At 40.4% G+C, this 14667-nt stretch overlaps 1 pseudogene across 1 annotated transcript; it reads right to left on the reverse strand.

The window, feature by feature from the left end:
- Positions 1-3106: 3106 nt before the first annotated feature.
- On the reverse strand, positions 3107-10535 carry SAGE2P (sarcoma antigen 2, pseudogene; annotated as a pseudogene). The gene is made up of 3 exons (NR_147090.1): positions 10506-10535; positions 5583-5715; positions 3107-3214 (listed from the first exon to the last, which is right to left on the reverse strand). The product of NR_147090.1 is annotated as a sarcoma antigen 2, pseudogene (transcript).
- Positions 10536-14667: the final 4132 nt, after the last annotated feature.

Consider the following 14667-nt stretch of genomic DNA (forward strand, 5'->3'; position numbering starts at 1 on the left):
GCCATATTAATAAGTCCTCATGGAACACTTGACAAGAAGTTATTAGGTGCTAGTTGGTCGTTTTGTGTCTTCTCTTCATGGACACTGTGAGTGATGGTAGCGTCTGGAAACCAAACAAAGAGGATGACCTGTGAGGTAAGTCCGTTATGTCAACCCCCAGGTATATCCATCTGAGGCTCAGTTTCAAGGAAATTATAAAGCAGGAGAGGATATGCCAGGTGACCATCTGAAAACCCTCAAATTGAGCTCATGAAAGATAATACAACAAAACCACTTTCTTCCCTTCATGACACCACGCATTCATATGGAAAACAAGTAGGACAGTACAACCAGTAAACAGACATACACAGATCCCTCGTACTCGTGGCCAGAATACCAGCTTCTGCCAAATTAATAAGCCCTGGTGTAACAGTGCACAGGAAGTTATCAGTTGCTGGTTGGCTGTTTTTTATCTTCTTTTCACTGACATCGTGAGTGATGGTAGCATCTGGAAACCAAATGAAGAGGTTGAGCTGTGAAGAAAGCGCATTATGTCAACCCCTCAGGGTATATTCCTGTGATGCTCACTTGCTAGGAAATTATTGCACAAAGCAGGAGGACATGCCAGGTGGTGATATGAAATCCCTTAAATTGAGGTCACAATAGATAATACAACAAAACCACCTTCTCCCCTTCATGACACCATGCACGCATATGGAAACCAATGAGGACAATCCAACTTATAAGTTAACATACACAGATCATTGGTACTCATGGCTGGAATACCAGCTTCTGATGTATTAATAAGCCCCGGTGGAACAGCTGACAATATATTATCAGCTGCTTGTTGGCCATTTTCCATCTTCTCTTCATAGGCATTGTGAGTGACAGTAGCACCTAGAAACCAGAAGAAGACGTCAAGCTGTGAGGTAAGTGCATTATGTCAACCCCACAGGTATATTCTCTGATGCTCAGTTTTTAGGACATTATCTCATAAAGCAGAAGGATATACCAGGTGGTGATCTGAGACCCCTGAAATTGAGCTCATGAAAGATAATACAATAAAACCACCTTCTTCGACTTATGACACTGCATGCATATGAAAACCAAGTAGGAAACCAAGTAGAAACAACTAGTAAACAAACAAACATCCCTGGTACTCATGGGTGGAATACCATCTCCTGACACATTAATAAGCCCTGGTGTAACGGATGACAAGAAGTTATCAGGTGCTGGTTGACCTTTATTTATCTTCTCTCCATGGACATTGAGATTGACTACAGCATCTGGAAACCAAATGAAGAGGTTGAGTTGTAAGATGAGTGTATTATGGTAACCCCACAGGTATATCTGTCTGATGCTCAGTTTCTAGGAAAATATTTCATGAAGCAGGAGAGGGTATGCCAGGTGGTGATCTGAGAACACTCAAATTGAGCTCATGAAAGAAGGTACAACCAACCAAATCACCTTCTTCCCTTGATGACACTATGCATGCATATGAAAACCGAGTAGGACAATCCAACTTATAAGCAAACATACACAGACCCTTGGCACTCATGGCTGGAATACCAGCTGCTGCCATGTTAATATGCCCTGGTTTAACAGTTGACAAGACGTTATTAAACTGTGGTTGGTTATTTTCCATCCTCACTTCATAGACATTGTGATTGATGGTAGCATCTAGAAACCAAAGGAAAATGTTGAGCTGTGAGGTAAGTGCATTATGGCAACACCACAGGTATATCCCTGTCATGCTCAGTTTCTAGTAAATTATCTCATTAAGCAGGAAAGGATACACCAGGTAGTGATCTGAAACCCCTCAAATTGAGGTCACGAAAGATAATAAAACAAAACCACCTTCTTCCCTTTATGACACCATGCCTTCATATAATAACCAAGTAAGACAGTACAAGTAGTAAACAAGCATACACAGATCCCTAGGACTCATGGCCGAAAAATCAGCTACTGCCATGTTAACACGCTCTGGTGGAAAAGTTAACAAGACATTATTCAGTTGCAGTTGGTCATTTTCCATCCTCTCATCACAGACATTGTGAGTGACGGTAGCATCTGGAAACCAAACGTTGAGGTCGAGCTGTGAAGTAAGTGCATTATTTCAACCCACAGGTATATCCCTCTGATGCTCAGCTTCTAAGAAATTATTGCATGGAGCAGGAGGACATGACAGGCGGGGTTCTGAGACCCCTCAAATGGAGCTCAAGAAACATAATACAACAAAACCACCATCTCCCCTTCATGACACTATGCATGCATATGGAAACTAAGTAGGAAAATCCAATTAGAAAGCAAACATACACAGATCTCTGGTACTCATGGCTGGAATACCAGCTTCTGCCATATTAATAAACCATGATAGAACATTTGACAAGACATTATCCAGTTGCGGTTAACTATTTACCATCCTCTCTTCATGGACATTGGGATTGACAGTAGCATCTGGAAACCAAATGAAGAGGTTGAGCTGTGAGGTAAGTGCATTATGTCAGCCCCACAGGTATATCCCTCTGATGCTCAATTTCTAGGAAATTATCAAAGAAAGCAATATGCCAGGTGGCCATCTGACATCCCTCAAATTGAGGCTAGGAAGGAATATACAACAAAATTACCTTCTACCGTTCATGAAAATACGCCTGCTTAGAGAAACCAAGTAGGACAGTACAACTAATAAGCAGACATACACAGATCCCTGGTACTCGTGGATGAAATTCCAGCTGCTGCCATATCACGAAGCCATGGTGGAGCAGTTGACAAGACATTATCAGGTGCTGGCTGGTCGTTATTTATCTTCTCCTCACAGACGATGTGAGTGACTGCAGCATCTGGAAACCAAATGAAGTGGTTGAGCTGTGAGGTAAGTGCATTATGTCAACCACACAGGCATACCCCTCTGATGCTCAGTATCTAGGAAATTATCTCATAAAGAAGGAAGATTTACCAGGTAGCAATTTGAGAACCCTAAAATTGAGGCCAGAAAAGATAATACAACAAAATTACCTTCTTTCCTCATGACACTATGCATATAGTGCATAGTGGAAATGAAGTAGAACAGTATACCAAGTTAGCAAACTTACACCGATCCCTGGTACTCATGGATGAAATACCAGCTGCTGCTATATTAATAAGCGCTGGTGGAACAGTAGTGACGACATTACCAGGTGCTGGTTGGCCATTTTTTTTATCTTCTCTTCATGGACATTGTGAGTGATACTAGCATCTGGAAACCAAACGAAGAGGTTGAGCTGCAAGATAGGTATGTTTTGTCCCATCCTCCCCCAGAGGGACAGCTATGTATTAATCAGTTTCTAGGAAATTATTTATTTCATGAAACAGAAGTATTTACCACGTGGAAATCTCAGATCTTGCAAACAGAGATCAGGTTAGATAATACAATAAAACTGCCTTTTTACTTCTTGGCATAATGAATACAGTAAAGAAGTACGATAGCAGAATAAACATTCACAGGTTTTAGTACTCATCATTTTGTATCATCTTGCTGCCCTTTACATTTCTCATTTGATATTATTTTTATAGTTCACCTATAAATGCCGTGCTGTACACAGCAGGAAGCGAGACTAATTGAGCCCTCCTTAACCTGCCTCCTTTCTACCTCAAATATTCTGAAAAAATGGAGGTGGCTATTGGAGTTGAACACTCTTATCTCCACTCCATCATCACACATCTGTGTTTTTTATGATTCTACAGATCCTTCCCCTTTGTCTAGAAAAAGTGGCTTTCTTTTCACTCCAGGTCTGACACCTCTTTCATTTATTCATCATCTGTGGCAGGCAGCATGCCAGGAGCTGGGAATCAGCAGTAAACAGCCCAGAGAGCAACGTTCCCTGCCCTTGTGGAGCTCACATCCTCATGGGGCAGTCAGACAAAACATGTACAATGAGCAAATGAAACAAACAGCGCTGAGCTGGTGTTGGGGAAGCAGTCCACGGGCCTGTGGGAGGCAGCAGCAGAGGGAGCCCCAGGGGCTGCAGCTGGTTTGGCAGGGCCTTCTGAAGAGGTGCCATTGGGCAGCGCTTGGAGGAAGAAGCAGAGCGTCCTGTGCAGAGGCAGAGGGAGAGTTCCAGGCTGCAGTGAGGCCAAGGGTAGGGAATGGAGTGGGGATGGACCGGGCACTACAGAGGTGAAGGACAGAGGCAGAGAGAGCCAGGAGGAAATGGATGGGACCCGCGTTAGGAGAGGGTGACAGAGGCCAGGCTGTGCAGAGGCTCGCAGACCAAAGCTAGTTCAGGGTCTGTTCTGAGTGCTTAGGAGAGATGAGGATGGGTTTTCAGGAGGGACATGGATGATGTGATTTACGTGCTGACGTAATTATCTAGCCACAGGGTTAGAGAGTATGCGATAGATGAGCGAAGATTAGAAACACAGAGCTAAGAAGGTATTCTACTAGCTTGAAGAGAGATCAGTACATACTGGAGGGAAAGAGAGAAACGGTTGGATGCAGAATTTATACTGGGCATCGACTGCTGGACTTGCTAAGAGATGGGAAATGAGAGAGTAATAAAAGAATCATAAGATAACTCATAAGTGACTTTAAGTATTTTGACTTGAACTACTAAGTAAGAGTACACCAGGGGTGTTCAGGAGGTGTTAGGCAACCGACTGTGAGAGCTGAGTGCAGCCAACTCTTCCTGAATCTGGTTTAGCCACCTTATGTTGACAGTTTGAACTAGATCATGGTGGGATTATCCGCACTATGGATACCTACAAACTCTAAAAACCAGGACTTCTCAATCCCCCATACCTGTGAACAGCTGGTTGTTACACCTTTGTGGATGTTTCACCTAATGGACAGTATCTTTAGCTGAAATAGTGAAGGCTGAAAGTAGTGTATTTTTAGAGAGAGGGAAGTCAGAAATTTGAACATGTAGAGCCAGTTGAATTTTAGATGTCTATTAGACACCCAGTAGAGATACCACGCGAGTAGTTGTATTTGAGTCTGGATTTCAGGAGCAAGTTGCAGTGTTGAAGTATAATGGTGAGAATTCTTGTAGTGTGAATCATTTAAAATTCTAAGACAGCATGGCATCGCCTAAGGAGATAGTATAGTGAAGAGAAGAGAGTCTAGGATGAAGCTTTGGCGCCCTGAAATATTTAGAGGTGGGAAAGGAGAGGAGAAAAACAAAAAGGAGAAGGAAAATGAGTCTCTAGTAACAGGGTAAGAAATCCAGGTGCCTCGGGACCCAAGAAGCTTTCCGTGCAGGAGGGAGTAAACAACTGTGTTGCATTCTGCTGAGAGATTAATGCCAAAGTGCAGCAAACACTGGTGACCTTGATGATAGTAGTTTCATTGGAATACACTAAGAAGAAGCCAGACCACACTGGGTTAGAGCGGAATGTGAGGACAGGCAGAAAGTGAGCAGACCCATCCTCTTGTTGAGCCCACCATCTCCTTCTGCCTCAGGAACCTGCTTTATTCATCTAATGCTTGCAGCAACTCCAAATTGTTACACCTAATTAGAACCTTGCCCTTCCACTTGCAAATGTGCTCATATCTGTTCATCCCTCAAGGACATGACTACAAATGTCCTTTGACATGGTTGAGGCCCAAAGATTGGATTCCCCCTCACCTTCCTGTTTGTTTAACCACCGCGACATACTCTTCCTTCTCTTAGATGAAGAGTGTCTCTTGGATTCTCTGGAACGTTTCTGTTTGCTTTGATGCCCTGTTGCAACCTGATTTACTTCATCACTCCTTGTTTGCTGAAAAACATCAGTGAACATATTCCATTAAAGACAAATCCAACCATTGCAAAGTCACAGTCTTCATATGCATACACAGCCATGCATTTATATCGTTAATATAAAGTTTTAGGCACAGGTCAAAGATTTCTCATCACTCAACACACACGACGCTCTCAGAAAAGGCAAGCTAATTTTAATCTAGTCTCAGTGAAACAAGAGAAGGTGAAATACAAGGTGTTATCCAAAGTCAAACATGGTACAGTCATGATAAACCAGAATGCGTGGGGAATAAGTGGTTTTCATCAACCAAAAGAATAAACATATGGTTATATCTCTAATGAATTACACATCATTTTGTCTCAGCCTTTGTTAGGGGACAAAAAAAAAGAAATACCTTTCTTATCTTTCAGTGCTTTAAAACTACGTATTAACAAATACTGATTAATACTTCATTAGATGATACATATAGATAGTGAACAGTAGGATAGATTGAAAAGGTAAATGTTCCCACACCTCCATAGTGGGAACATTTACCTTTTCAATCTATCCTACCTTTCAATATCTATGTGTATCATTATGCATATCATATAGATACATATAGATATCATTATATCTATATGTATCACTACCTATATGTATCTATATGCTTCATTTCCCAAGCATTCTGATTAATCTTGACTATACCATGTTTGACTTTGGATAACACCTTGTATTCTACCTTCCCTTGTTTCACTGAGACTAGATTAAATTAACTTGCCTTTTCTGAGAGCATCATGTGTGTTAAGTGATGATAAATCTTTTATTCCAATATGTTGATCTTGGAGACAGACAGGGGTAGGGAGTGCTTTGCAATGTTGATGGTAGATAAAACATGAAATTCAAGGGTATAGTAGGTAAACTAAAAGCTGTTTTCATCAACGGATAACCGAAGAATATGCTCCTGACTACCAGAGGTACCAAGAAGGGCTGGTACTTTTTCTACTGAAAGTATTCCAAAAATTTGAAAAGGAGGGACTCCTACCTAACTCATTTTATGAGGCCAGCATCATCCTGATACCAAAACCTGGCAGAGATACAACCAAAAAAGAAAACTTCAGGCCGGTATTCCTGATGAACATCGACGCAAAAATCCTCAATAAAATTCTGGAAAACTGAATCCAGCAGCACATCAAAAAGCGTATCCACCATGATCAAGTTGGCTTCATCCCCAGGATGCAAGGTCGTTTCAGAATAGGCCAATCAATGAATGTAATTCATCACATAAACAGATCTAATGACAAAAACCACATGATTATCTCAATAGATGCAGAAAAGGCCTTTGATAAAATTCAACACCCCCTTATATTAGAGGCTGTCAATAAACCAGGCACTGAAAGAAAATACCTCAAAATTAGAAGAACCATATATGACAAGCCCACAGCCAATATCATACTGAGTGGGAAACAGCTGGAAGCATTCCCCTTGAAACTTGCACAAGACAAGGATGCCCTCCCTCACCACTCCTATTTAACATAGTATCAGATGTTCTGGCCATGGCAATCAGACAAGACAAAGAAAAAGGGTATTCAAATAGGGAGAGAAGACATCAAATTATCTTTGTTTGCAGATGACATGACCCTATATCTAGAAAATCCCATCGTCTCAGCCCAAAAGCTTCTTAAGCTGATAAGCAACTTCAGCAAATCTCAGGATACAAAATCCATGTGCAAAATTGCTAACATTCCTATATACCAAAAACAGGCAAGCAGAGAGACAAATCATGAATGAACTCCCATGCACAATTGCTACAAAAAGAATAAAGTACCTAGGAATACAGGTAACAAGGGACGTGAAGGACCTCTTCAAAGAGAACTACAAACCACTGCTCAAGGAAATCAGAGAGGACACAAACAAATGGAAAAACATTCCATGCTCGTGGATAGGAAGAATCAATATTGTGAAAATGGCCATACTGCCCACAGTAATTTAGGGATTCCATGCTATTCCCATTAAACTACCATTGACATTCTTCACAGAGTGAAAAGAAGTTATTTTAAAATTCATAAGGAACCAAAAAAGAGCCAGAATAGCCAAGACAATCCTAAGCAAAAAGAAGAAAGCTAGAGTCATCACGCTACCTAATTTCAAACTATACTACGGGGCTACAGTAACTGAAACAGCGTTTTCCTGGTACAAGAACAGATATAGACCAATGGAACAGAATAGAGAACTCAGAAATAAGATCACACAGCGATAACCATCCGTTCTTCGACAAACCTGACAAAAACAAGAAATGGGGACAGGATTCCCTATTTAATTAATGGTGCTGGGAGAACTGGCTAGCCATATGCAAAAATTGAAACTGGACCCCTTCCTTACACCTTATACACAAATTAATTCGAGATGGATTAAAGACTTAAATGTAAAACCCAAAACTATAAAAACCCTAGAAAAAAATATAGGCAATACTATTCAGGACATAGGCACGGGGAAAGATTTCATGACAAAAATGCCAAAAGCAATGGCAACAAAAGCAAAAATTGACAAACGGGATCTAATTAAACTAAACAGCTTATGCATAGCAAAATGAACTATAATCAGAGTGTACAGATAATCTAGAGAATGGGAGAAAGCTTTTGCAATCTGACCATCTGACAAAGGTCTACTATCCAGACCCTACAAGAAACTTAAACAAATTTACAAAAGGAAATCAAACAACCCCATTAAAAAGTGGGCAAAGGACATGAACAGACACTTCTCAAAAGAAGACATTCATGCAGCCAACAAACATGAAAAAAAGTTCAGCATCACTGATCATTACAGAAATGCAAATCAAAACCACAATGAGATAACATCTCTTGCCAGTCAGAATGGCAATTATTAAAACGTCAAGAAACAACAGATGCTGGCAAGTTTGTGGAGAAAAAGGGCTGCTTTTACACTGTTGGTGGGAGTGTAAATTACTTCAACCATATGGAAGACAGTGTGGTGATTCCTCAAAGATCCACAGGCAGAAATAGCATTTGATCCAGCAATCCTATCCCTGGGTATATACCCAAAGAAATATAAATCATTCTATTATAAACATACAAGCACGTGTGTGTTCATTGCAGTACTATTCACAATAGCAAAGAGGTGGAATCAACCCAAATCTCCAGCAATGATAGACTGAATAAAGAAAATGTAGTACATATACACCATGGAATACCATGCAGCCATAAAAAGGAACGAGATCATGTCTTTGTAGAAACATGGATGGAGCTGGAAGCCGTTATCCTCGGAAAACTAATGCAGGAACAGAAAACCAAACAGTGCATGTTCTCACTTATAAGTGGGAGCTGAATGATGAGAACACATGGACACATGGCTTGGGGGCACACACAATGGGGCCTGTCAGGGGAGGCCTGGGGGTAGGGAGAGAGAGCATCAGGAAGAATAGCTAATGGATACTGGGCTTAATACCAAGTTGATGGGTTGATAGATCCAGCAGACCACGATGGCACATGTTTACCTATGTGACAAACCTGCACATTGTGCATATGTACCTCAAAACATAAAAGTTGAAAAACAAAGAATATGCTCCTGTATTAAATATGCAGGAGCATATTTAATAAAATTTATAATTTATAATAAATTACAATACAATAAATATATTATAAATATATCTATAATAAATATATTATATAATATAATGTAACAATATAATAAAATTATATATTTATTATTAATAAATATATTTATATTTATTGTGCAAATTTATTAATACTTAATAAAATTTACATTTATTTTATTAACAATAAATATTAATAACAGTAAACATATTTATATTTATTATATCAATTTTATTACATATACTATTTAATAAAAACATTTATATATAATGTTGATTTTAAAATTTTCCAAACAATTTTCATTTCCTATAAAATAGGGGCTTAGAATGTGTGAAAACATTTTTACCAAACATTTACTACCATCTAGTTACTGTTCTAAACGGTTTACATGTATTAGCTCAATCCTTGGCCAATCCCTATGAGTGAGGTGCGATTCTTATCTCTATTGTTAAAAAAGAGAAAATAAAGGCACAGAAAATTGAGGAAAAATTTAATTAATTGAGGAGTTTTGGGACTGTGGTGGAATAACTTTAGTCTGGTTTTATTACAGAAGAGATTATTGCCTACCTGTGTCTTTATACCAATGGTCTGATCCACAACTGCAGATGCAATCTCCTTTGTCTTCATGTTTTAATGGTGAAGTTAGTATGTCTATCTCATACACAACACAAAACTCACATTAAGATCTCCATTAGGACAATCCAATTATGGCAACATCACCTAGTGCTTCATATTCCATGAGGAATACTTAGTCATTTTTTAGATAGAGCACTAGAGACTTGGATAAGAGAAACAGAGACTGTAGACTGTAATCTCGATATGAAAGGAGTTATTGTGGGGAGTGGGAAAGAATATAGAGTCTGGAGTCAGAAAGGTATGCGTTCAAACCCTGGCTCTACCTCCTATCATGTGTCACTTGGGGCAAGCCATTTGACCACTGTCAGCCTTTATTTCTTACTAAAGGGGATATAGTAATACACATCTGCAGAACAATTATGAGCATTACATGTGATAATTAAAAACATCAGTTCCTTGTACAATGAATCCACTCTTGGATCAAAAAGTTCCCATTTTATGTTCACATAAGAATTCCCGTGTCATGTTTTATCTTTTAAATCAAGAGAATTAACACCTATAGTTCACGTTTATTTTTTCAATAAGAAAGTAATTATACTAAAAACGCCACAATTAGGGCGGAAATAGAAATAGTTATCTTACCTGCCCATCATTTGTAAACACGTAGCCAACTGTATGAAGTTCTTCAGGTGGAGTTGGTTGACTCGTTTGAAGTGGAGAAGCCTGTATCTGCAGATAGTCCTCATAATTAACTATGTGTGTTACTAGAACACTTTGATTTATAACTGGAACATAACTGGCACATAAATCAGTGCTACACAGCTGAAATATATGATCCTCTTGAGAGTACATGATCACAGACTGTCTTAGTAATGTGTGCCTTGGCACCAAACACAGTTTAGAATCTCATATCTAGAATCTATATCATGTTCCGTGATCTAGAATCATCTCCCTTTACCTAAGTCATGACTCAGTCCACCCTCACTACTTCCTATAGGTTCACACCACTAGGTTAAACAATTCCCTTATGCCTCCAGCTCAGTTTGAGAATGGGCTGACCTCCCTTACACCACCATCCCAACTAAAAATCTAATTCTAAATATTAATACTTTAATATTTAGAATGCCAATTTTCACTGAATTATTCAAGCTCATTTTTTAAAGCTCAAAGGAGAAGTATGTATTAATGAGCACATACACTGTCCTACTTAACTTACCTGCCCATTATTTATAAACACACAGCCAAAAGTATAAACTTCTTCAGGTGGAGTTGGCTGACTCGTTTGAAGTGTCCAATTTGAAGTGACTGACTCCTTTGAACCAGCATCTGCAGATATTCCTCATAGCTAACTATGTGTGTGTGACTAGAACACTCTGATTAAAAACTAGAACATAAATGGCAAAGAAATCGACACTATTCTCCCCATTGAAAGGGTGTAGGCTCCGTGGCATTCTCTTATCATCCAGAGAACGCTGAGTAGTGGGCCTAACCCTCTTTGGATAACTTGCTGAAATCTATAGATATTTTTCCCTGGAAAAATACCCTTACACACAAACTTGGTGTATAATTTCAGAAGTGTGACCAGCCTGAGATCTGATTAATTTAGTGGACAGATGACCCCACTTAAAATCACCAACATTGGGGTACAGAGGGTTTGTAAACTGATGCCAATTATCCTGGACACTATCAGCTTTGTTATTTCCATATAAACAAGGAATTCTCTGCTGAACTCACAGCGGTAGGCAGTGTCATATAGTATTTGCGTGTGCAGTCTCTGAAATCTGACAGACCTAGGTTCTGTCACTTTTCCAACTGGTTAAACCTGTGAGGGATGCTTAAATGTGCACTCTACGATTCTATTTCCATAAAATGGGCATAAAACAGTATCTAACTCATGGCGCTCTCATAAGGATTATCAGAGATAAAGCACAAAGAGGATAGTGTATGTGCTGGCTAATACATACTTTCTTTAAGCTTGAAAAAAATAAAGTTGTGGGATTCAGTGAAAATGGACATTCTAAATTTTAAAATATTCAAAAATAAACTACTCTTACGATAAACACCTTCCTACAAACTAGACTTGATATTTTCAAAATCAATAAAGGCAGACACAAAAACTTGTCTGGTTTCAGCATAGCAAATTTCCTCCTGGTTAACTTGTCTAAATGACTGCTACTTGCAATATCATAAACATTTCTATATGTCTAAGTCCTCCTTTATAAAACAAGTAATTCGTTATTCCTGAAGTTTTAAATTGATGTATTTAATACAGGCAAGCAGAAGGAGAGGAATGATGGAAATTAGAGTAGAAGAAAATCAATAAAATAAAAAAACAGAAAAATCAATGAAATCAAAAGTTGGTTCACTGAAAAAGTGAAAGAAACCTAACAATCTTTTAGCCTGACTGACCAAGAAAAAAAGAAAGGACTACTAAAATCAAGAATGAAAGGGGGGTTATTAATACTGACCTTATAGAAATTAAAAGGAATAAATTCTGAACAATTTTATGCCAACAAGTTAAACAACTTAGATAAAATAGAAAAATTCCTAGAAGACAAATTACTGACTCTAGAAGAAATAGAAAATCGAAATAGGACTATTGAAAGAAAAGGGATATAATTAGTAATTTAAAATCTCCCCACAAATACAAGCCAAGCCAAGGTGGCTTTGCGTGTAAATTCTGTAAACATTTAAGGAAGAAATAATACCAATACTTAGCAATGTCTTCAAAAAAATAACACAGGAAGAAACACTACTTCATTCTATCAAGCCAATATTACCCCGATATCAAAGCCATTTTGTCAGCTCCAAATTCCCCCTTTCATCCCGCTGTGTGAGAAGGTTCTGCGTTCCTCTGCTTACGTCGGCTGTACAGTCCGCTGTACAGGCCGCCTTTAGAGGGCGCCAGAGTCAGCGAAGGGGAGGGCTGCGCTTCCTGGTTCTCTAGGCTGGCACCCACTGAGCGAGAGCCTTCTCCTAGGGACTCTGGCGCCCTGCACAGGTCCCCGTGTTCTGTTGGAGCAGGGCACGCGGTGTCCTGAGGCTTCCCTTCCTTCCATTGCCCTTGGACCATACACGGTGCTTGTGGTGAGATGCCACCCCATGTGCATCACTCCCAGGCGCCCTAGGGGGTACATTTCCCACAACTCCCAGAGGGCAGGTTTCTAGAAAGTTCCAGCAGTGGTGAGGCACCATAACAACTTTATTGCCATTTTGTGAGGTGCAGCCACACTCCTCTGGCAAGATCAGGATTTTTTTTTTTTTTTTTTTTTTTACGTTTGAGACAGAGTCCTGCTTTGTCCCTCAGGCTGACGTGCAGTGGCAGCGAACAGGGCTCACTGCAGCCTCGACCTCCTGGGCTCAAGCAATCCTCCCACCTGAGCCTCTCGAGTAGCTGGGACTACAGGCATGCACCACCATACCTATTTTTTGTAGAGATGGGGTCTCACTATGTTGCCCAGGCTGGTCTCAAACTCGGGCTCAAGCAATCCACCCGCCACGGCCTTCCAAAGTGCTGGCATTATAGGCGTGAGCAACCACGCCCAGCAAGGTCAGAATATCAACATTGGTGATAAGATGAATAGGATAGAATTTCAACATTGGGGGGTTGGGGGAGGTTATTTGAGTATTCCATTTAAGATCTGTAGTGGGGAGCTCTTTCCAAGGCACTGTATCTCAACAGTGTTTCAGGATAAACTTTTTGGAAGGTAATCTGTCTTAGCTCTGGGTTAAAGGGATTCTTCCCTGTATACTCCACCTCAAATTCCCAAAGGTAGATCTCCAATGAGTTCTGCCAATGTGGCACCCCAACAAGTTCTCTGGCATACATTGAGTAACAGCTGGGCCTACCCGATACGTGGACTTCAACCCTTGGTTGTGGTGGTGGTGGTGTGAGTGTTTCCTCATATGCTCTCTTCAAGCCCTGAGAGGACTTTCATGGGTTCCTCTGTCTCAGCATGGGGGTGATGAATCTTCCTCTGGGTTTTAACTTACTCCTGGGAGAAAGTTCTTATCTTACCTGGGTGCCCTACCTCAACCCTACGTAAATGTTTTCTTGTGGGCTCTGTCTCATCCCTTTTGGATGGGGCTGTTTCTGAGTTGCTGTATCTTAGCCCTGGAAAGGATGTTCCATAATGCTCTATCTCAGTCCAGAGGGGCGACTCTTAGGGGCTCTATCTCAGTCCTTGGGAAGGAGACTTTTCCTTGGTTGTTTCATAACTGCAGTTGGAAGACTCTTCCCTGGGTTCTCATCATACTTATGTTAGGGGATGCCTTCCTTGGTTGCTCTATGTCAGCCATGAAGTGAAGGAGCTTCCTTGGATGCTCTGTTTCCCACCTCAGGTGGGGGAGGACCACTCCTTGGATGCTATATCTCAGCCCTGCAGGGGACTCTTCCTCATGTGCTCATCACAGCTGTGTGTGTGTGTGTGTGTGTGTGTGTGTGTGTGTGTGTGTAACTTTCCTTTGATAGTCAATCTCTTCCTCATGTGCTGTATACAAGCTCTGGAGTTGAGGTTTTTCCTTGGATGCTCTATCTCAAGCCTACAGTGGCACATCCTTAATGCTCTAACTCACCATTGCTGGAATTTTTCTTAACTCTGGGGTGTAGAACTTTTCCTTGCATGCTCCATCCTCTAGTGGGGGAGTTATTCTTTGTGGTCTTTTAACTCCACCACCCAGAGGTTCTTACTTGTGTGCTCTGTTTCAACTCTAGGGGAGGGACAGTAGTTGTATTTTGGGTGCTCTATCACTCCTATGAGAGGACTGAGGTCTTTCTTAGGTTCTCTAATTCATCTGTGGAGAG

Source organism: Homo sapiens, chromosome X (genome assembly GCF_000001405.40).
Source record: "Homo sapiens chromosome X, GRCh38.p14 Primary Assembly".
In the NCBI taxonomy this organism is placed as follows: domain Eukaryota; kingdom Metazoa; phylum Chordata; class Mammalia; order Primates; family Hominidae; genus Homo; species Homo sapiens.